General features: G+C 40.2%; 2 long non-coding RNA genes and 1 pseudogene across 2 annotated transcripts in view; 1 reads left to right on the forward strand and 2 right to left on the reverse strand.

The window, feature by feature from the left end:
* On the reverse strand, positions 3,339-3,856 carry LOC100419932 (FGFR1 oncogene partner 2 pseudogene; annotated as a pseudogene).
* Positions 7,957-24,979, forward strand: LINC02393 (long intergenic non-protein coding RNA 2393). The gene is made up of 3 exons (NR_033987.1): positions 7,957-8,071; positions 20,208-20,301; positions 23,169-24,979. It is a non-coding gene; the product is annotated as a long intergenic non-protein coding RNA 2393 (long non-coding RNA).
* The window catches only part of LINC00508 (long intergenic non-protein coding RNA 508), a 99,903-nt gene continuing 85,126 nt past the window's right edge, over positions 10,329-25,105 (reverse strand). The window contains exon 4 of the long non-coding RNA NR_126452.2: positions 10,329-11,445. This is a non-coding gene — a long non-coding RNA (long intergenic non-protein coding RNA 508). The remainder of the gene's footprint in view (positions 11,446-25,105) is intronic.

Consider the following 25,105-nt stretch of genomic DNA (forward strand, 5'->3'; position numbering starts at 1 on the left):
TTTCCCTAAGCAAGAGAGATTCTCAATTTACTTTGAAATGACTGTTCTTAGTTTGCTTGATGCTACTTTTTAATCTTTGTCAGTTAAAGGGCAACATAATATCCTTCAGGATGAACCAGAGAAGAGTACAAAGATCAGCTCAGAACCAACATATCTTCTTTCTGAGTAGTTTGACCCAGTGAATATTTCTTTTAGAATGTCTTATATTTCAAATGGTAGCACTGCCTTCTCCTTCTTTACAGAAATAATATTTTAGAAATACTCGCTTTGATCAAGTTATGGATACTTGCTAGCTATATCTGTTATGGAAAATCACTAGACAAAGTTAACTCATCACTTTTTTATCGTGGTGTATATAAAACATGAATATCTTTTCTAAAACTGACTTTCCTTGGTCGAAAGATGTCTGCATCAATAGGAAGGTAGACACACAAATCTCTAACTCTGAAATTTTATAGTGTGTAAGCCCATGATTTTTCTGTCCAGATAGAAAGAATAAAATTTAGAATGAACATCTTCCTTTCACCAAAGCATGGCACATTTGCATCTTTTAAAACAGGTAGTTCTCTAAGTTCTTTGTAAACGCTCACTGACAGTATTCAGATCACCCAGGAATCCACCTAAGAACCTACAGCAGGGCTGGAAGCACTGGGTGTTCCAATCACTGTCTGGAGAACCTCTCATTTGTATGCCTACCGATAGTGACCTCATATTCTCACTTTTCAACTATTTTTGACTATTTTTATTTATTTATTTATTTTTATTTATTTTTTGAGACAGAGCCTTGCTCTGTCACCCAGGCTGGAGTGCAATGGCAAAATCTCAGCTCACTGCAACCTCCACCTCCCGGGTTCAAAGGATTCTCACGCCTCAGCCTCCCAAGTAGCTGGAATTACAGGCATGTGCCACCACGTCCAGCTAATTTTTTTTTGTATTTTTAGTAGAAATGGGGTTTCACCATGTTGGTCAGGCTGGTCTCGAAATACTGACCTCAAATGATCCGCCCGCCTTGGCCTCCCAAAGTGCTGGGATGACAGGCGTGAGCCACTGAGCCCGGCCCTGTTTTCTTTTTATAGTCTCAGATTAGGTGATTTATCGGCTGAACTATGTCATATTCAAATGTCATTTCATATCCAACACTCACTCACTTGGACACAGATTGGGAGGAGAAAAGTTTATTCTTCTCTGAGATTACAGGGAAAAGTGACCATTTTCTTCACGGGAAAACATAAATTCCCAGAAGTTTTTGTTTGTTTGTTTTTTGTTTTGTTTTGTTTTTTGTTTGGTTTTTTTTTTTTTTTTTTGAAAAAGTGTCTCGCTGTGTCACTCAGGTGGGAGTGCACTGGCGCAATCTGCGCTCACTGTAACCTCCACCTCCCAGGTTCAAGTGATCCCATCACTTCAGCCTCCTGAGTAGCTGGGATTACAGGCATGTAACACCACACCCAGTTAATTTTTGTATTTTTGTAGAGACAGGGTTTTACCATGTTGGCCAGGCTGGTCTTGAACTCACGACATCAGGCATGAGCCACCACGCCCGGCCTTATTTTTAAGAATAAAGCCTAAGGTCATTACTGAGACTATCCCTTCCAAATATCATTGCCATTGTGCCTTACTTCCTGTAAAAAATAGAAATAAAATTCAAGTGGATAGAGATTTTGGATTTCGAGTTACTCGAGTCAAGGTTCCATGGGCCAATTGCAGAGGCTCTGTGGGTCTAAGTTAAAAAAAAAAAAAAAAACATAAAACAAAAAGACTCCAAAGTTCTTCAGCTTTTCCAAGTGCTCAGGTCACTCATGGTCACTGATGCTCAACAAGGTGTCCTTTCTGATTCACCATTCTTTCTAAGGTCCAAAAAAGGTCCTTGAGTTATTTGCAGGATCTTACTCTCTCAATCCTTTGCTTTCTTGTTCAAGCCAGCAAATTTACCCGTTTCCTGCAACCTGCTGTTCACCAAATTCAAAGCCTGTCTTCATACTACTACCGTATCAGTTATCTGAAATGATTCCTGAACTCATTTTCCAATTAGCTCTAGCAATTAAGTCTCAAGGTCTCTGAGATCAGAGATCTATAGACCCAAAGGAAATACTTCTGAGTGAATATCTTTGCAAAGAGATTAGGAGGAAAAAAGACTTGAATATAAAAACTTTTAGGCCCATAAGTGAAAATACCAACAATCTTCTTGTAAGATTTCAGCTATCTGGGCCGGGCGCGGCGGCTCACGCCTGTCATCCCAGCACTTTGGGAGGCCGAGGTGGGCGGATCACAAGGTCAGGAGATCGAGACCATCCTGGCTAACACGGTGAAACCCTGTCTCCACTAAAAAAATACAAAAACATTAGCCGGGCGTGGTGGCAGGCGCCTGTAGTCCCAGATACTCGGGAGGCTGAGGCAGGAGAATGGCGTGAACCGGGAGGCAGAGCTTGCAGCGAGCTGAGATTGCGCCACTGCACTCCAGCCTGGGTGACAAAGCGAGACTCTGTCTCAAAAAAAAAAAAAAAAGATTTCAGCTATCTGAAATAGTAATAGTGTGCATTTTTTACTTCTTGTAATGCTTTCTTTTAACTTCAGGGGAACATGTGCAGGATGGGCAAGTTTGTTACATAGGTAAATGTATGGTATACAGATTATTTCATCACCCAGGTATTAAGCCTCGTATCCATTAGTTATCTTTCCTGATCCTCTCCCTCCATCCTCCTCCCTCTGGTAGGCCCCAGTGTGTGCTGTGCCCCTCTATGTGCCCATGTGTTCTCATCATTTAGCTCCCACTTGTGAAAGAGGACATGCGGTTTTTGGTTTTCTGTTCCTGAGTTAGTTTGCTAAGGATAATGGCCTCCAGCTCTCTCTATGTCCCTGCAAAGGACATAATCTCATTCCTCTTTATGGCTACATAGTATTCCACAGTGTATATGTACCACATTTTCTTTATGCAGTCTATCATTGATGGGCATTTAGGTTGATTCCATGTCTTTGCTATTGTGAATAGTGCTGCAATTAACATACACGTGCATGTATCTTTATAATAGAATTATTGATATTCCTTTGGGTATATACTCAGTAATGGGATTGCTGGGTTTAATGGTAGTTCTGCCTTTAGCTCTTTGAGAAATCACCACACTGTCTTCCATAATGGTTGAACTAATGTATACTCCCACCAACAGTGTAAAAGTATTTATTTTCTCCCACAAGCTTGTCAGCATCTGTTATTTTTTGACTTTTTAATCGTAACCATTCTGAATGGTGTGAGATGGTATCTCATTTGTGTTTCTCTAATGACCAGTGATGTTGAGCTTTTTTTTTTTTTTTCATGATTTTTGGCCCCATGTATGTCTTTTGAGAAGTATCTCTTTATGTCCTTTGCCACTTTTTAGCGGGGTTGTTTGTTTTCTTCTTGTACATTTGTTTAAGTTCCTTATAGATGCTGGATATTAGACCTTTGTCAGATGCATGGATTGCAAAAATTTTCCTCCCATTTTGTAGGTTGTCTGTTTACTCTGTTGATAGTTTCTTTTGCTGTGTAGAAGCTCTTTAGTTTAATTAGATTCCATTTGTCAATTCTATTTTAAATTCCAAGGCACACTGGTGTTCCTTCAGGGCTACACAAAATTATTTGTTCTCGTCTTGAAATTATCTGATTTATCAACTTTCTCGCTGGATGCCCATAACTACTGTGGACCAAAGTAAATACGCAAAGTCATTAAATTCCTGATTTCTTCCTGATACTGCATCACGGTGTCTCCTTGCTGATGGAGAGTAGCAGTTTGTTCAGTCCAAGATTCTATTGCACTCACATAATCTCATCAACTTTCAAGGTGACCTTTAGCATCAACAAGTATTTCTCAATTGTGTAGCTCATTTCCTAATCAGTGGTAGCCCTTGAGTCTCCAAGTCTCTGCTAGCAGAGATCTGTAGCCCCACAATAAATGGTTCTATGTGTCTGGACATTTCCCCAATCAATAAAGAAAGAAAAGAAAAACCTAAATGTGTAAATTTTTAGGCACATAGTTACATTTACTCATTTAGTTAAACCTATTCTATCACTGTATTATATACAAAGTTAGAAGTGTTGCTTTTACTCATTCTCATATTTCCTAAAGCAATTTACTTAAACACATCATATGTACATCATATGTATGCTTGACATCAATATACTTTTCAGTCTCGAAACACCTGTCTAATGCAGTTTTCCAGAGCACATGTGTTAAGTTGCCTGAGATAGAGTGCAAGCTATATTGATGTTTTGTTTTGCCTGGAAATTGTATCTCAGACCACCAGTGCCTATTTGCTTAACCTCAGGATATTTATTTTTTTCCTTGTTCAATGAGTATACATGATCACAACAAAACAACTTCAATATTGTTCTATTAGAGTTCTTTGAATGCCTTATAAAGTTTAATGCTCGCAGTTTTAAATTCATAGCCCTAAAAATAGCTACTAAATCTTTGTTAAATATTATTATTGCTATTGTTTGTTTTCCTTCTCCTCCTTTTCATCTTGGCCTTTTCATTTTCTTATTTTCTTCTCAATCATTGTCTTTTTTTTCTCTTCCATCCTCTTCCTTTCCTATTTCTCTTAATAAATGGTGTTGGGTGGTTCTGGCTCAAGGAAGCTTCTGAGGTTGCCGTTAAGATGTCAGCCAGGGCTGTAGTCCTCTCAAAATCACCTAAAACTTGCTCATGTGATAGTTGCAGTCTTGAGGCATTTGCCATTTCAACCCCTCAACAGAGCTATCTTATGACAGCTGCTTTCCTCCAGAAAAAAAATAAGAAGCGACACCCCCAATGAAAGCCACAGGTTTTTTGGTCTTCTTTTTATAACCTAATCTCAGAGCAGATACCTCTGAGATTTGGCCTATTCTGTTCATTGGAAGAGAGTTCTTCAATTCAGCTCATGTTAAAGGAAAAGGGATTCCACAGGGAGTAGACACCCTGAGGCAGGGGTCAGTGATCACCATCTTACAGGCTGCCATGGTCACCATGTGCAAACTTAGGGAAAGCTGGGAGAGCAGCAAGCCAAAATAACCAAGTATTTGCATCAAAAACCAAAAATTAATCCCTTGAAGTAATTTCAGTAGTTGAAGCTAGAAACAGATAAAGGCACAGTTGAGACTAAGTAAACCTTTCATTTCTACCAAAATGATGAGTTGACTCAAAGAATATCCTTGTGTATTTGTTATAGTTGTAGGAATGTCACAAAGGTGTTTAAAATATCCAAATATTCTCCATTGCCAAAGTTATATGACTGAAATTAAGTTACCTGTAGATTTTGTTTTAGTTTTTCTAGTAAATTTTGTTATTGTTAATGTTGCCGTCAGCTGTATTTTGACCAATACCATAGGGTGTTGTGGTAGACGTAGTTCTCACTGTTTCTGGGGTATGTTTCTGCACTCAGTATAATACTGAGCCAACAGGGAAGACCTGCATGACCTGTGGGGCCTGATCCATTGCGGAAGGTAAGATTGTAGACAGCTTCTGTCTCTGTTTTTGGTAGAGACTTTGCTATGCTAACTAATAATCTGAGTTATAATATTCCAATGAGAACACAAGAGCTCTTAGTACATAACAGAGTCTGCTTGATTTCCTTGAGTTTCCCCAGCTTCTTGTCCTGTGGTTAGCCCCACCCGAGAAATCTGAGGGTAGCTCTCACATTCTGAGCCAGACTCCATTCCAGGCAGGGAAAAGCAGCCCATGTTGGAGAGCAGGGCAAGTCAGATCTTGTGAAGCCAAATGCAGGGAGGTAAGAGAGGTGGAGAAAAAGACATGGACACCCTAGCACAATAGACACGTGGCCAGCCAGCCTCTAGTCCACTGGTTTCCAAGCTCTGAGACCAGGCAGGACATGTAACACCAGCCATCCCTCCTCCTAACCCTGTGTTCAACTCCCAAGTGCCTGCAGTCACAGAGCAAGGAGCAGTGGCTTGTGAGGTTCCATTTCCACATACAACTCTGTGAGCTAGAAACAGAAAGAGCAAGGTGCAGAGAGAATGCATTGATATCCACGTGGGACGGGCAAGAGAGGTTTCCATCCCAACTTCTGTCCTCCGGAATGACGTAACAATGACCTTTGGTGTTTTTTTGCTCAGTCATTGCCAATTTCCCTGAATCAAAGTTTTGGAAAGAGGTCCATAAAGGCTTTTTACTTCTAAAATAGCTTGTGAAAGAACAGACTTTGCTGGGGGAATCAGTGACATGTCCAAGCTTACGATGATGCAAATGTAGTCATCTGAATTGAATCAGAGAGTCATCACCAAAGGAAATTGGCCCTTTTTGTGGTCAGGATCATATTTCTAATAATATCAGTTATGTTTTACCCATTTTCCGTGGAAACAGCACACAATAACAGATAGTCTATAGGAAGCTGTCCTGCAGTGACCTTCATGGCAGGGGAGTTTTTAAAGGCTGAGAGTAATTGTCCAAAGCAGTACAACAGATTTGGAGGAGACCTGGTGAAAGAGCCCAAGTCTTAAGGATGCTAGAACACTCAAATCAATTCTCTCTGCTGCAAGCAAATGTAACCGGATTGCTGCAGGGGTTCGACTATGATTTTCCAGAGTCTTAGCATCCTGGATGCTACAAGCAAAGTGAGGACAAACATGCAACTGACACAGCAGGGGAGGTGAGAAGGGGGCTTCATTCCATATTGTTTTTATATAACTCAATCCTTAGGTTCTCTTTATACACACCAAGCATATTTTAAACTTTCCCTGGCTTACTTTCCAGTTAAAGTCATTGTTAGTTTTAGAGTAATCTCATTGGAAAATCAAAGATCTAGAGTCATCACCAACTATTCTGGGTCATTCACTAGTAAAATTCTAACTCTTTTAAAACAAATTTGTCAGAAATTCTTTATTATGTTGGTTGTACTAAATAAAATTCACTATGAGTAAAATCTCCTCAACTTTCTCTGTAGGTGCTTCATTCACTCACTAATTCATCCATGCATCCATCCATCCATGCATCCATCCATCCATCCATCCATCCATCCATCCATCTATACTTACACAAATCCATCCATCCATCCATCCACCCACCCACCCACCCATTCATTCAACCATTCTTCTATCCACCCATCCATCCACGTACCCACCCATCTATCCATCCATCCACCTACCCACCTATCCATCCATCCTTCTATCCATGCATGTATCCACCCATCAATCCACGTACCCACCCACCCATCCACGCCCCATCCACCTACCTACCTACCTATCCATCCATCCATCCACCCATCCATCCACCCTTTCATTTATTCATTCACAAGCACCTACCATGTGCCGGGCTTTGGTCTAAGACCTGGGGATCCCATGGTGAATGTGAGTCACTTCCCTGCCCTCATCATGGTCACATGCAATGAAGGATTCAGACAATATGCAAGAAAACAAATAAACAAACACAATTTTTAGGTTATGATAAAATGCTATGAAGATAATAAATGGGTAATTTGATGAAGGGAGACTGGAATGGGAGTGACGGAGCCACCTGAGACAGCGAGTCAGGGAAGGCTCCCCAGATGAAGACATGGGGGTGCTGTCCTCTAAGCAGGGAAGGTGCAAAGCAGACAGGCCAAGAACAGGAGCTGCAGGCACAGGATCCAGCAAGGGAAAGTCCTGAGGCAAGAATAAGCTTGGTTAGTTTCAGAAACAAAATGGACATGGGTAGATGGTATGTGTATTTGCTGCCTGAACACATTTCAAAAAGTTTATAGGTCAGGTTTGAAGCATTTAAATTAAAAAATAATCAATGAATATACACAGCATTTGAAGATGTTTTTGTGTGTGTTATTTTTATTTCTAGTTAAGTTTTATCTGATCAATGTAAGGAATGCACGAAGATTCACTGATGCCACAGGGAGATCAATTTACATCACAAAAGCAGTTAGACATTGCTACATCTGTTATTTTGCCAGGAATTCCCCCAAGTACAACTTTTGCTAGACGGTCTTTCCTGAAACCATCTGAAATCATGAGTCAGTATGTGCCAGCTGTATTTAAGACCAAAGGCTTAATGTATCCACATCTGGGGTAGGAGTCAGATGTAAAACAAGCCCAACATTGCCTTGGAAGTTCTATAGGGTAAGTAAATGCTAACATTCACTTTCTTGCCTCAGTGGCTGTGGCTCTCACCTCTACTACTATAACTAGAAGCTTAATATTCACTTTCATTCTTTGAAAAGGTGACAGTGTTTCTTCCAGTCCAATAATGGAACTTTCCACTAGGTTGGTAACACAATTCAATTTTTAAGCCAAGCTCAGCCTGGTTTTGTCTTAACAATTGGGTTATTTAGCTTGACTCCTACAGAAAAACAAGCTCTTTCATGATGGGATGTGCAGCTGTGAATAGTACAACATGGATGAATGTAATTATGGGATTTGTTAAGTTTGGTGAAAAGAAAGTGGATTGGAAGGCTGCCATGCTTATCTATGGAACGAAAAAAATGAAACATGTACAAATGATATATTAGAGGTTTAAAAAAGGCTCAGACATGCAAGGAAATTTGAACATTGACTAGATATTTGAGGATATTTATATTTTTAATTCTATTTATGAATGATTACAGTATTACAGTCATATTTTAAGAGTTCTTATGTTTTTAACACGCATAAAAATATTTACGTATTCTATGAAAAAACCTCTCAGTAGGGCTTTTTTAACCTTTGCAAAATCTTCCGATCATGTTTTGTTCCCAAATTTTGTTCTGTTCGTATTGTTTGTTGTTGTCATTGTTGGTAATACACTGACCTAACCACCAAGATATTTGGAATTCAACTCAGAATTTCCACAATCATAGATAGAGGTCATATTCATTATGCTTTATTCCTAAACAATTGAAAATTTCTCCTTCAAGAATTTGCTAGTATTTTGACATTTAACCAAGAGTTTTCTTCTGAATCTACAGCAATGGACTCTTTCGTGGCTAGATTTGAATCCCACGTACAACAGAAGCTTCCAAATGCGTTGTTTGGCCACAATGAAGAATCCTTATTGAAATATCCCTTGAATGGCATAATTGAATAGACGTAATTGCAAAGCTCTGCACCATGTAAAATTGTAAATAGCACTGACAAAATAATTTATGCTCATTTATGATACAGTAGCTCATTATGGCTCCAATTTTCATTTCCTTCATTAGCCAAGCTCATCTGTTTCTCTAGTAGACATTCCTTTTGTCTATTATCTACAATCCTTTTCCCAGAGAAATGGACTCTTGTGTATGTAGATGAGAAGAACTGAGCATGAGAGGGTGCTGATAACAGGGGATATGGGCACCGCATAACCTAAACAGACTTTGACACCACAACAAAAGAGAGACAGATACTGTAGAACAATGACAGGTAAATATTGTATTAGAATAGTGCCTATTTCTGCTTTGGTTTCAGGAATGTCTTATAATAAATGAATAAAGTGGGTCACCACTACAATTACAGCAATAATGATAATGAGTTCAATAATAACATGAAAGAACAAGAAGCTTGCAATCAAGTCCCATATTCCTTGTGGGTGTGTTTAAGGAAACCTCGTGTCATATATTTGTTTTACTTTAATTACTTCCCTCATCTTCTAGTTTATTACTTCTCTCCACCTTGTGTCAGGTTAGAAACCATCACTTCCCTATGTCTCCCATCCTTAGCTGCAATATTCCTTCTTTATCTTGAGCAGCAGGAGATCTCTTTTCTTTCTTTCCACTTGTTCCAGCTGGAGACCATGACATAGAAGCCTCTCACTTTCTGGGATTGTTGAAATAAAACTGAACCCCTTCCCCACTTTACTTGTTCAACCCAGAGGAAGGTTGAAGAACTGTGGAGATGGAGGATGCTTACAGTATTTATTCTCCTTTTTCTAACTAGCAAGGTTAATATGTGAACATTGTGGTCATGTGTGACTTACTTGTAAGGTTCCTGGATTCTCTGTGTTTGACAAGGTGAGAGGTGGCCCTAGTCCTCTATACGAATGGGCCCAAAGAAAAACTGTACTTACAGAGTCCAATGTAGAGGATAATTTTACTAAAGGCCCAACCATGTCTACCAAACCAGCAATAGGAGCAATGAAATTGCTATGTTTGTCATATTTTTATATAAATATGCCTCTTTTTATTTCAATTGGTTCCAAACTCAGAGAGGAATGAGGTAGGGTTAACTGTTGCCCTCCTAAAACCCAAAAATGAACAGTAACATTATATTAAAAGGGTGGGTTGTTGGCTAAATCAGGTTTTTAAAAGTATATTAAGACAGAGAACCTCATTAAGGTTTGTGGTGTCGTGTTAATGGCACAGATATGTTTTGCTCATCCTCATATTTAAAACATGCAATATTTAGTTGGTGGGTCTCAATGTTTTGTCTGAAAATTTTATTAGTTAAGAATAGTGTTCATTTGAATTAGAGGCTAAAATTAGCTGCTTATATGAGAGAGAAGTTTGTTTCTCTCTCATGAAAACATCTTAAGAAAGAGGTCTGAAGCTGGAATAGTGGTTTGGACCTAAAGGTCGTCAGGAACCCAGGCTTCTTCCAGATTGTTGCTCTGCTTCTGACCTCCATTCCTCTTCATCTCATTAGCAAGATGGCAGTAACAGCTACAGACACCACCTCTACATTAAAGTATATAGGAGAAGACAAATAAAAAACTAGGTTGTAGTCCATAGGAGGAGCATGTCCTTGCTATGCCTTGGAAGCTGTCATGTGACACTTCTAGTTTCATCTAGAATTTAGTTAGTCACCTGACATTCCCTTGACCCAATGTGTACTGGGTAATGTACGCTTTATTCTGGACAGCTACCTATGAAGTCAAAAAAAACACAAATTCTATTCTTATGGGGGAAATGCATAGGGAGAAAACGAGTAGTCTCTTCCATAGGAAATACAGTTGCCTTTAAATGGTGAAGACTAACATTTAATATACCTGCAATTCTGAGCTCAGGTCAAGGTGCACTATATTGTCTGTGGCAGTGTAGGTGCATGACGGGACATTTTCAGCATCACAGCCAACTGTATGGTTGTTCAGATGGTAACAAAGACATTGAATAGAAGCAAATGCACCTAAACTTCAGCAGCAAAACTTCTAAGCACCCTGCAGAGCCTCAGTTCCCTTCTTTCTAAAACCAGCATAATATTATGTAACATTGTGATTATAATATTTGTCATGCCTACTTTCAAAGGTGTTATAAGAATCAAATGGCCAGGCGCAGTGGCTCACTCCTATAATCCCAGCACTTTGGGAAGCCAAGGCAGGCGGACCACCTGAGGTCAGGAGTTCGAGACCAGTCTGGCCAATATGGTAAAACCCAGTCTCTACTAAAAATACAAAAATTAGCCAGCTGTGGTGGTGGGCACCTGTAATCCCAGCTACTCAGGAGGCTGAGACAGGAGAATCGCTTGAACCTGGTATGCAGAGGTTGCAGTGAGTGGAGATCGCGCCATTGCACTCCAGCCTGGGTGACAGAGCAAGACTCCATCTTGAAAACAAAACAAATGAGAGAACATTTAGAAAGCAGATAGCAGGTATAAAAATGAAAACCTGTATGATTTTACTTTACCTGTCATACTAGGAGTCCCCAGTCCACTGGGTATTTGAGACTCACGTAACATAATACATCCTAAGTACTTAGAACAGGGGCTGGGAAAGAGGAGGCACTCATTGTATGGGACTCATCTTTAGGAGGTTAAATAGAACTTTTCACCTGTAAATTAATTGTTAGTTGATATAAAGTTGGTATCTTTTGGATAAAATAAAGAATATACATGCCTAGGATTATAAGATGTGGGGGAATTGAGATAAAATTTAAATCCACTGATTCCAATCATGTCCTCCATAAATTTTCCCCATTCTTCCACATAGTGTATTACCAGGACCCCTGCCTCCCTACCTGATGGACATTTGCTTGGTTGATATCCTGGGATGAGTTCATCATTTCTACCTCACACCATATTATCTCTGACAGAAACCATTAAAGAGAAAGCCTCTTTGTTTTACATTGAACAACCTGAAGAGCCATTTTAAAGTAAAAGCAAATAATGACATTTTTATAACCAGAGTACATTTATTTGCCTTTTCCATCTTGTCAAATGCAGTGTCCCTATTCACGGATGTTTATTGTTTAGACTCAGGTAGATTAGATTTCCACCTCATTTTCCCTCTTCCTAAAGCCATGGGTGCTGATACCTGCTCAAGAAGTTAACAACAATAACAAAGTATAGCTCAGTTTGTGCAAAATTAGAGACAATGGAATGCTGAGTTCTTGTAGAATCAAAGTTGAGAAAAAATTCTGGAGCAAAAAATAATGTATCGTTTAAGTGGATCCTTTCCAGTGTCATGGAGGAAACATCATTTTATTTCTCATTTAAATAGATCATAATATTGACCATCTCATGGGGGTTTTGTGAAGATTCTATGAAATAGTATTGGCACACAGTTACTGTTGAGTAAATGTTGAATATTACTATGAGAAACAATGGGCTGCAGTGAAGGTTCTCAGATGTCCTTGGATGGAGGAATTTGATGACAGTTTTCCCGGCAGTCAGGGGACTCAGAGAGTAAGCAGCCTCCCACCTGGACCGTGGTCTTAGGAAGCTTCACCCTAGGCTCATGTCGGGGGTGCAGGTAGGAAGAGAGGCTCTAAAGGGGCTGGGTTATCTTTGCCAAATGGGAGTGTATTTCCTGTATTCACAAATCTTCTAACGTTTCACAGAAAGCCAGATATTGCTATTTTTTGTAAAACATTTTATTTTTACATGTTGGATATTAATTTTAAATTTTTAAACATTCTGCAAGGCAAACACAATGTGATTGCAAACAGCATTGGGCCAGATAACCACCAGTTCACCGCCTTTGCTCTGACAGAATACAGTCTGTTCCCAGGGATACTGTTTCATGGGAGAATCTCAAAGCAAATGAATGTAAAAAACATTGCTTATGTTTTGTCAGCATATGTAAAATGGAATCTTGGTGGAATAAATGGAATTTGGAGAATGCATGAGAGTATCCCTATAGGGTTGACCAGCATAAAGTTTAGAGAGGGTTAGCCTCAGTTATATTCTGGCTTCTATTGTTATATCCAGTTACTGAATTTACCTCTCTACATTCAGTATTTTGTCTGTGAAACAGGGATGATAATGCTCCCCGCGCACACATGCATGCAATCACCTACACACATCAGGCTTTTGTGAGGATCTCGTCAATGAGGCAGGTTAAATCTTTAGATCATGAGCCAAACTCAGTGAGCTCCTAGAAATGGCAGCTGCTTCCTAGCTGCCAATACCCTTCATTCAGCTCAAGAAAAACAGCCTTTATTTAACTGAGACTGGCTTGTGAGCAAGACTAGTCTTCGGAGCCCATAAACTTGTATTTGCTCAGATTTGGGGTTTCCTTAAAGTCCAGTGGAACACAGGTCCAACTGGCACTGGTTTTTATGTATTCATGATGTGCACTCCTTAGTAATTCCCTGGAAGGGACATATGTGTTATGTGGGTTTTCAAGCTATACTTACTTGCAAGTTAAAACTGCAGAGAACTTGATAGTTTCAGGACTGGTGGGAACTGGCTCATTTAAGAAAATCTATGGTGAGAGAGATCTCCTTCTGTCTGTTTCCCTGACACTACAGCCTTGCATCTATTACTTATTTTTCTATTTATTATACTCATTGGCACAACGATGCAGCCACACCAGGGGGAGAACATGCTAGTGGGAATTAGAGTGGGGTTAGCTTTCCCCCACCCTATGCTTTTCCAATCCCTGGATAACATTTTCCCCCTTTTCCACTGTAAATGCTTACTTCAGATATTATTTTGATGTACTTTCCCCAAAAAAACCCTTTCGTAGGCGTAGCTATGGAATCTTAGATTCATGGGCTGGAAATTGATATAGAAATTTTGTCGTTGGTTCTCTGGGGAAATAGCTCATGCTGTTACTCCTGAATCCTAAGTAGCTGCCTTATCACTTGGCTTGGAATGCTAAGAGAAAGAGCTTGCAAAGAGCCATTTCAACGAATGAGTTTCCTCCTCATTCTTTATAGATGAGGGAGGGAAGCCTTCCCAAAGTGGGTTGCATTTTTCCCAATGCATAATGAATTAGCAATTGAAATTTAAGAGAACGTACATCTTTTCTAAAGTACTAAAACCTTTTATTGTCATGAAAGTAAATTTTATCATAGAAACACTTAAAGACACAGTAAAAGCAGAAGGTAGGAAGACGACTCAACTAAATCTATTGACAGTGAACGTTAGTCCATTTCCTTAATTTCCCCCTGTACATTTTAATTCTGTCCTATTCATGTCGGCATATAGTTTTGAATTCTGCTCCTTTTGCTCAGTATTAAGTATAAACTTTTTCTGTGTTATTATTCCATATTCTTTATAAACACATTCATGATGCCCCAAATATTTCATATGTAGACTTGCCATAATTAAGCAGTGTCTTAGTTTGGCATCTTGGGATGGTTTCTGATCATTACTATTACACATAGCAGTAATAGTAATAACCAACATTATTGAGCATTTGCCTATGTCAGCCATTGTGTTCAGGGTTTCATGTACATTATTGCATGGGTTTCTCAACAGCGGCTGAGACCATTTCTATTGTCATCCCCATGGGCAAATGAGGTCACCGAGGCCTAAATAATGTATTTAATGAGCCCAAGGGCCAATGGCTCACACGTGTTAGAGGCAGGATTGGGTGGTTGGAGTTTTCCATTTTTTCTGTGTTTGGATTCATGACCAGAATAACAATGTGGAGCCCTGCCTAGATTTAGGCGCATGACAAAGTGGGTGGAGCATTCAAAGTGCAGCTGGATTTCCAGAGACTGACCTTCTCTATTGCCTGAATGAACCAACCGAAGTGATGTTCTTAATGGAACAGGTGCTTCCTTGGATCAGTTGGTTTTTTCCTCCTTGTTACTTCGGCAGTTCCTGTTTCTGTCAGATAGTTGGGGGTCTCATTTTAGGAACCAGAGGAATGTTCAATTTCTATTTCTTTTGGGGAGGCTTGGGGGTAGAGTGGCATTAGGTAGAGTTTGGGGTTGCCTCTGAAACGTCTCAGAGGACTGACTACACTTCCACACTGACTGACTGAATACTCTTCCACAGAGAGATCAATAGAGGCTACACCAGCCCAGAAGTCCTGAGATTGAGGGTTTAGTCTGACCTCCACCTTGTGGTAGCTGTGGGAATGTGGGATGTCCATTGGTACTCACCTCAATTTCCTCATCTCTTAATTAAGGAGGGCAGTGTTTTCTCCTCCTATGTCCTAGGAAGAGAATATTTTGAGAACCAGTGGGAGAATTATGATGTCCTGTTTGTTTCTTCCTCTCTGGGTTCCATTTCTTCTTCTGATAAGAGCCCTCAGCTTTCCTCTGAAGATGAACTCCTTCCTCACTCACAGTCTATGTCCTTCCAGTGGGCTGAGTCAACTCTGTGGCTCTCTGCCCATGACCTTTCTGAAGCCAAGGAAAAATACACACCCTCAATAATGGCTTCAGATATGTATCTGTGATCCAGGCCAGACCTCTCAGAGCAATGTTTGAGGATGAGGTAATCATAAAGCAATCCAAAATTGAGTACACTTCCCAGCCTGTTCCATGGAGCTTGTTCCATTTATAGGCCATCAGTCCCTCATATCTCTGTCATGGTGTACACAGCTCTGGCTGCCTGGGTTGCCACTTTTCATCTTCATCCCTGCGTAATAATCTGTGTTGACTACAGGCACATGTGTTGCGTTTACCTGCTCAGCGTCCATCCTCCCCTCCACCCCAACCCTGTCTGATGTACTAACTTCCTGGGGCTGTCAATCAAAATGCCCAATGCTCTCTTGGCTGAGGGGTAGGGAGAAATCTGGGCCATGCACATGCTCTCCTCAGAAATGTAAATCTTGAGTCGGAAAGGCTGAAAACAGTTGGAGCTGCTTTACCCATTTGTTGCTGTGGCAACAAATACATCTTAGCTCCTATTCAGTTGCTGTTTCCCAAAGCCAGCTTTTTCTCTTTACCTTTGATGCTGTGATCAATATTATTTTTCTTTCAATAGGATTCTATTCTGGGCTAAGATAACCAAATTTGTTTCAAAGAAAAATTGCACACAACCTTTACCTTCTCTACATTCTTGATACTCTTTGCTTCTTTCCTTCTCATAGACCTTAGCTGTCCGTCTCTTTATCTCCTATTCCATTCTCTCCAGTCAGCTTTATGAGAAGAACCCAATAGTACATTGTTGTTGCTGTTTATTTGAAGATTCCTCTTTCAATAAGCTGGGATGTCTTTGAGCTTCTGACTGCCTGATAACCTTTAACACCCAGTGCTGATGTCTGCGCTGGACATGAGAAGGAACCAAATATTATTGAATGGGAGCTGTACTTTAATTAGTTGGTAAAGCAACAGGTGAAAACTAATTAGGGAGGTAAGTGAGCGAGAGCTGTCCCAGATCAGTTGCCCATGTGTTCTTTTTGTTTTCATTTTTTTGTTTTTGTTTTTTTGGTTTGTTTGTTTGGTTTTTGAGACAACATTTCACTCTGTCACCCAGGTTGGAGTGCAGTGGCACGATCTTGGCTCACTGCAACTTCTGCCTCCCAGGTTCAAGCAATTCTCCTGCCTCAGCCTCCCAAGTAGCTGGGATTGCAGGCGTGTGCCACCACACTCAGTTAATTTTGCATTTTTAGTGGAGACAGAGTTTCGCCATGTTGGCCAGGCTGGTCTCGAACTCCTGATCTTAAGTGATCTGCCCGCCTCGGCCTCCCAAAGTGCTGGGATTACAAGCGTGAGCCACCGCGCCCGACCTAATTGCCCGTATGTTCTTGATCCTATTCCAAACAACACTCCAATCAAAAGCCTAAGTCAAGTGAGTTGAGATGAAAACACACAGAACCACAAAAATCTGAATTATTATCTTAGATTCACTACTAATTTTCACTTTTATGTATATTGTTCTTTTTTTAAAAAAAAAGAAGATACAGAGGTGTGTGTACAGAAATTCTTGAAAAGGTAAATCAATTAACCTTTACCAGGAAGCTAGTACAAAAAGAAGGGGTGGTAAAACAACATCATTTGTAAAGATCAGACTTCTCGCTCCTGCCAAAAATATGCCTACGAATGCCAGGAGATAGACTACATTTACTCTACCTTGTAATCTACAGGTAACTTCTTAATGTAAAGCTAATTTTTTCTTGTCACCCTGTTATTCTTGCTTTCACATTTTTGGTTAATTGTGGGTTATGTGGGCTACACATAAAAAGAAACAAAATATATCTTTACTTACATTAGCCTTTTTAAATATGGAACTTTTCAAACATGCATGAATATAGAAAGAATGACATGACTAATCTCCCTGTACTCCTTGAAGATTTTCCACTATTAGGCTGGGCACAGTGGCTCACACCTCTAATCCCAGCACTTTGGGAGGCTGAGGCGAGCAGATCACCTGAGGTCAGAAGTTTCAGACCAGCCCGGCCAACATGGCGAAACCCTGTCTTTACTAAAATTACAAAAATTAGCCAGGCATGGTGGCACATGCCTGTATTCCCAGCTACTCAGAAGGCTGAGGCAGGAGAATCACTTGAACCCGGGAGGCGGAGGTTGTAGGGAGTTGAGGTCGGGTCACTGCACTCCAGACTGGGAGATAGAGCAAGACTCCATCTCAAAAAAAAAAAAAACAAAATTTTTCTTCCACAATTATCAATATTTTGTTTAATTTGTTTTATCTCCACTAATACTTCTCATTATTATCACCAACAAAGCAAGATTATTATTTTTTAAATGCCCAGACCTCCAGTAATTTTACGTGTAAATATGGTGGTATGTATTGCTAATAGAGACTCTTTTAAGTAACTAAGATACATGATCGTACATAATGCAATCATAGTCAGCAATATTCATTTCATAGTATTCAATACCAATCTATCTTCACACTTCCCTGCTACCTTAAAAATGTCTGCCTAGAGTTCATTTAAATTAAGGTCCACACAAAGCAAGATCCAGATATTTTCTTTGGTTGGTGTGTTCCATAAATCCTTTAAGTGTTTACAGTTTCTTGTATTTTTCCTCTTTATCCATGCCATTTATTTGTTTTCTTATAAAAATAATTTTCCAATAGAATTTCCCAGATTCTACATTGGGCTGTGTGCAGAAATGAGTTAGCATAGCAGGACGGAGACTACTCTCCATAGAAAGGTGTTCTTGCAAGTCGGCCCTTGGTTGATGTCTAGGAATTTGGATTTTGGAAATGTGCCTGCCATTCCATGGTAAGACTAGCTCACTATGCCTGGACCATTCAAACAATATGATTTATTCTGAACACCTGCTTTTCTTCCGGGAGTCTGGCATTTTGGTATGTGCCTGGCAGAAGATCTTTATGTGACCAGCTCCCAAAAAACCTTGGGTGCTGAGTCTCTAATGGGCTTCCTTGGGCAGAAACATGGCCTACCTGTTGCTACATTTTCATAGTTGGGGGAAGAATGGATTCTGAGACCCTCATAAGAGGGAGAGATCACTGGAAGCCGACATGGAGATTCCCGCAGACGCTGCCAGTGTCTTTGACCCCTGGGATCTAATGTGTATTCTTATCACTTCCCTGTTACAAATCTGAGTCATGAGCACAACTATATGCTAGCCCTATGAAACTTTCTAGGAAAACTCCAGATGGAGGGTGGTCCTGAGGGCCCTCAACAGAAGCCGATTATGTTATCATGGCATTTTTAACATATTCTTACATCCCCATGTTTTCTGTAAACTGGATTTTTTAAATATTGAGGCTCAATAGTATTAGGGGGAGGAGTAGATTAGAGGTGGGCTTGTACTTCTTTTATTGCATTATCTCAGGAGGCAGATAATAGCAAGTCATCTTCCCTCCAATTATGTTCTGATTGATCAGTAGATGGAAGCATAGAGTCATTTTGTCATGGTTTTAAAGAAGTCAAAATATGTGTAGATAGGTGTGTGGGAAGCTGGCTTACCACAGGTGAGGCTGGAGCAGTTATCGAGTTCTTGACTTTCAGTTCTATACCCATCCGTTTTGATTTCCTCTGTAACACTGGGACTGAACTTTGTAAACATTGCACATCTGTTAGCTGGAACAATTTACAAAAGGATTGTGCTTCTCCTCCTGATCCCAATACTCTCCTTCTTATTCCCATAAGGAAGTAGTCACCAGGAAACTCTCTTCCAGTGAGCAGCTTCTTTGCCATAATGCATGGGGCTTCAATAGTACATCCATCCAACAAGTTTTGCTGGGCCCCCGTGGGCAGTTTCTTGCTTGCCAGGCCCAGCCTGTTGCACCTCACTGAACCCCTCTACCTGGGTTCAGAGCCACATCCTTTCCAAAGAGTCTGATCTCAAACTTGGAGATGGCCCTTTCCCAAGTCTCTTCTGTCTTTGGCATGCTCCTTCAGTCCCAGAGGTAGTGCCTGCTCCCCACATCTGTGACTGCCATATTCTTCAGATTGCTTTTTACCCTTCTTAGTACATGACCCTGTTTTACAAGCATCCTTTATACATGATATGCAGCCCCATCCCTTCCCTAACATGAGGAAAAACAGGCCTCAAGTCATTGCATCATCCCTGGTTGCATTAGATACTCCTCAAATTTAGTCAGGGTCCCACTGACTATTCTGTTACCTGAAAGCTAAATTGTATAACAATAGCATATAATTTGTATGTAAAGTAATAAAGGGAAGGAGGAAAAGACAATAAAAATTATTATTTATAAAAACAAACACACATAACAAGGAAAGAGAAACTACGCAAAAGCATAGAACACTCATTTCTGCTTATATATACATGTGCCATTATTCTCAGGATCCATTCCATATTTCCATACTTCTCTTGCTCTCAGCCAAAAAGTCAATTAGTCAAGATTCCTTATCTGGTAGAGTAACTCAAGCCTTCATTTCTAAAGAGTCTGAATCTTCAATAGTCCTACTTTTGATTGTTGCTTTGATTTTCACTAAGAACTTAATATAATGATTTTTATTTTTTAATTGACAGATAAAATGGTTTGTATTTTCTGTGTACACTATGATGCTCTAAAGTATATATACATTGTGGAATGGCTCAATCCAGCTAATTCACATATTCATTACCTCTCATAGTCCTCATTTTGGTGGTGAAAACACTACTCTCTCAGCATTTCTCAAGAATACAATATATGATGAACCTTTGTTGTCATGTGCAATGGACCTCATTCACTTATTCCTCCTGCCTAACTGAAATTTTGTATCCTTTGAACAACACCTCCCCAGCTCCCTCCCAGGATCCTTGATCTGATCTGTCAGCCTTTACCACTGAGCACGGAAGCACCAGGAGACATCAGGATCAAGAAATTACTTGGTTCCAGTGAGTCCCCCTTGCTCTGTGTACTAAACACGAACCCAATTTCCTTTTGGTAATTTGGTAATTTCCATCCCCAGCCAGCAGAGGCACTCTTTTCTTGCCTGTTCATTTAGCGACGGCTGTCTTCATCCTTCAATTCAGTAAAACCATTGTTGAATCCTCTGGTGGAAGCAGTCCCAACGTGGGGCCTGAAACCTCTGAACCTGCAGAGCTCAGCTGCTGGGCCAAGACATTGTCTTACGGCCTTTGCAATTTTATGATTACAACAGAGATTATTTCAGGAATTTTTTCAGAGTGAGCTTATTGCAAATTTCATGCACTGCAATTTATTTTGTTCGTTGGCTTATTTCAGTTCTGAGACTGGCCAATGCAATTAGCATTATTCTTACATAGGAGCACATTTGGACAACTTTGAAAGGCCAGTCTCCTACTCCTAAGCCAGCAGTGCCTGTTTTCAGCAATGCATATGCAAAACAGGCAGTGTTTCCCCAGAGCAGGATCTGCCTTCCAGAGGGCCCTGGCTTTCAAACTACTGCTCACTCTGTGTCAGTGGCACAAAATCAGTTTAATGGATTGCAACCAGCTATTAAAAAACAGAATAGGCTAAAACAGAACCGAATAGAGAACAGAGTAAGAAATGTCAGAGCACATTATAGGTAGTAAGGGTGTGTACAAATTTATGAAACTTCTCTTTGAGTTTTGAATGTGTATGTCGCATAATATGTCATTAACACAAAATGTAATTCTTACTGTGGGTTATGCTAAAAAAGTCAAGTTTACTTTTCTACAACTTATACCACGAAATGGCTAGTGCATACACCTAAATGCAGAGAACAGCCTTGTATGGGTAATACAGTGATGTTAATTTAAAAGAAACACTCATCCATAGCTTTCAGCTTTAACTTAATTTTAAAAAAGATAATCGTAGTAACACACAAAACGCACACTCATATACATATAATTACTATCTCCCAGGCCACGTTCTTAGTGTGTTTTACTACAGACTTGTTCTTCACTATCTCAGTGACTCACCACCAATCCCCTTGGAATCGGCATTATTATTATCCTCATTTTGCAACTGAGGAAACTGAATCACAGAAAGGTAAAGTAATTTCCTGAAGGTTGCACATTTAGGAAGAACTGGAGCTAGAATTCAAACACAAACAGGCAGCCTATGTTTCCTTGGATCTATTGGCAAAGTTTCTTACCTGGTCATCTGGAGAAGAGAGGTGAATGGGAATTTGTTTAATAATCCTATTTGCATAAATCCAATTTATTTAAGTGATAGGCATAGTTGGTCTTGGAGTAAGGAGGGTGACATCGTGTTTAAATTGAGCAGCAGCTAGCTCCAAAACTGTGGCAGCACCAGTAAGAAGAACTCTGATATTGTTTGTGAATCTAGTGGAGAAGTGTGTTGAACGATTAGCAAAGTCTGCCATGGGCACAGAATCAGATAATGGCACACATGCCACCAAGTATGTGCTCTGCAGTCTTTCTCTAAAGCACTGTGGCCTAGGCCTAGGTTCTAGTTCCTGAAGATACAGAAGTGAACAAAAAAGACAAATGAACTTTCCTATGCAGGGAAGACAATAAAGACAGATAATAAAATGAATAATTGAATACACATACGATTTTAGGTAGTCACTTTGGATACTAAGAAGGAAAGAAAAGCAGTGCAAAGAAAAAGAGATGGCACAGAGGTAGGCAGTGGCCCTCTAAGGTATCAGGGAAGCCATCTCTGAGGAAGGGAGGTTTACTAGGACAGAATGATTGTATTCTCATTGGAGAGAGTGACCCCACAGGTATCTGAAGAAAGAGCATTTGAGGCAGAAGAAATAGCAGAGAAACAGGCCACTTCCTTGGCTTATTCAAGGAACAGACAAGACCTGTCCTAAGCCTTTCGGCCATCTATGTGTAATTTCAAATTGTACAAAAAGCTCAGAAGCATAGGCATGAGCACCCTAGAAGAATTTGTAGATGAGGAAGTGTTTTTTATTTTTGACTTTTTAAAAAAAAAATTATTTATTTTGAAATAGAGTGTTGCTCTGTCACCCAGGCTGCAGTGCAGTGGTGTGACCCAGGCTGCAGCCTCTACCTCCCAGGCTCAGGTGATCCTCTCACTTCAGCCTCCCAATTAGCTGGGAGCCACAGGCTCATGCCACCACACCTGGCTAATTTTGTTTTTTTTTTTTAGAGACGAAGTCTCAGTATGCTGCCCAGGCTGGTCTCAAACTCCTGGGCTCAAGCGATCCTCCCACCTCAGCCTCCTAAGGTTGCTGGGATTAGAGGCATGAGACACTTTGTACATTTCAAAGTTTTTTTAAAAAAAATAATTTATGAGAAGCACATAAAAGAAAAATATTAAAATACTTTATAAATTGTGTAAGTACCGTCTCAGTTAATAACACATTTGAGGTTGCGGTTTGGAACTCCTTCTAGGTCTTCATGATGTGCCTGCTAAGAAGATATTTGCTCATTTCTCTGTGGCAACCAGAACCAATTTCAGAATAAGGTCATTTTTAAAATGTAAAGAAAATTATACATTATATGACACCCCATCCAATTTAGTTCTATGTTCCAATGACCTAGTTAAGTGTTTCTCAGCTGGAAATGATTTCTTCCCACAGAAGACATTTGGCAATGTATGGGGACTACTGAGGTTATCCCAATTAGAGAATGGTACTGACGTCTAGCCAGCAGAGGCCAGGTATGTTGCTAAAAATCCTACAGTGCAAAAGAAAGACCCTACTACAAAGAATCATCTGACTTGTAATGTCAATGGATCGAAGGCTGAAATGCCCTGATTTAGGTAGAAAGCACTGGTCACAAGTGGACACTGAATCCTTTGTCTCTGCTCTGATTTTCTGCAGTTGCCATGGAGACCAGGTGATGCACACATGCAAATTCAGTGGCCGTGCAGAAGTTTCAAGATCAGGGCGAGGGAAAAGACAGACAGTAAATGACACTGCAGAGGCAACACTAACAAGCAAGGTTCTGCAGGGGCTGAACATCATATTCATCAAACTTTGGAGTTTGCCCTCAGAGATCCCCCTCCTGGAGCAGGGGAATTCCTGATCTATCGACTTCTGTGTCAATATTCAGAACTACAGTCAGGAGGACCGGCTTGTTTTCCCTTCTTCTCCATACTCAAGATGACACTATAATGAGAGAGTTGGCTGCAAAATCCCTTACAAGAGATGATGGTCATCACAGTCAGAGATATGTCAAAGCACAGGCAGTGCAGCCTGGGTGGAAATGTGGTTTGGAAATTCAGAAGGAGTTTACCACTTTGATAACAGATGCATTGTGTCATTTCTTCTGGTGGTCATTTTGACATCGAAGCATTAACCTTGGATTTTGCTATTTCTTTTTAATTTTAATTCCCTTCTATTTGGCCTTATTATTAATCCTGAGAAGGCTTTTTTTTCTTTTTCAAAAAACACAAATATTTGGTATTGATCTTACCAGGGAGAACAGAAGAGTATGGCCATGTTACCTGAGAGGAGTTAGTGCTATTGCAGCATAGGGTGGAACAATTGAGGCTTCATTTGTGCAGGGAGAGAATTCAGTCTTCTTCAAAGCTGATCTCTCTGTGTGTGTGTGTGTGTGTGTGTGTGTGTGTGTGTGTGTGTGTGTGGTGTGTTTGTGTGTATCTGCCTAAAAGCTAACACCAGGATCTCATTTTATCTGTAATTGAAACGTGAACTAATGGATTAATATTATTAGTCTGTCACCTATAGACAAAAAGAGAGTCTTCGGTGATCAGAAATCAACTTAATATACTCTAAGCACTTTTAACATCTTACACCATTTAAACCACACAGACACACGCATGGGGTGAGTGTAAAAACAAATAGACACATCATAGAAGACAATTAGCAATTTTGTCAGAAGTCTTAAAATATATTTCCACTATGCATTCATATTTCACTTCTAAAAATATATCCTAAGGAAATAATTTCAATGCTGCAGTTAACTATTGCTTCTGCCTGCCCTGGAAAGGTTGTTCCTTCTGCTACTGGCACCCAAATTCCCTTTGGGAATGTCTCTCTTGCCCACTCTCCATCCATGTGTTTAGGTGGGGCCAATGCCTTCCTCTGCTCAGAGAGCAGCCCCAGTGTCAGGTCTAAGAAATTAGTGAATTTCATCGTTTTGCATTGTAATCTGTTCAAAGCTGAGAATAAGGATCAGTTAAATTCTAAGCCAGGGATGTCCCAGAACGTTAATAGAACTGTGGAAATAAGGTCTCTTTTTAATTACATGTATTGCTGGAAGGATATGAGCTTGGAAAGGTAGGGTACCACCACACGGAGAGAACCTAGCTAAAAATGTATCTGTCACAGAAAATAGTAGGGCTGAGCACGTGAACCTAGGATGGACTCCAGGCCTCTCTCACCGTCAGCTAGAATCTTGGCTTGAGGAAGACAGACTTTCTATGTGCAATGCTGTGTCTCTGCTACCAAGAATGTCACTTGGGAAATGCTCATAAATGTCTGTGGGATAAAGACTTTGGGGAACAAAATCCTGATGAGGCCCCTTGAGTACCTCAACGAAGCCATTTCTGAAGCCAATGTACTCCTTTCCAGTTATGACAGTTAACATATTCTTGTGTGGGTGTGTGTTTGTTTTCTAGCTTAAGCCAGCTTGAATTGGGTTCATAACAAATAAACATTTCAAATACAAGAAATGTCTGCACAGCAGTTTATTCACTGATACTCATCTCACAATTTGCTCTGTACTGTGTGTATTTTGTATTTCGCTAGCTGGTGAGGATGAACATGAGACAGCCAAGTAAAAAGGGCTCCCG

Source organism: Homo sapiens, chromosome 12, assembly GCF_000001405.40.
Source record: "Homo sapiens chromosome 12, GRCh38.p14 Primary Assembly".
Taxonomy (NCBI): Eukaryota; Metazoa; Chordata; class Mammalia; order Primates; family Hominidae; genus Homo; species Homo sapiens.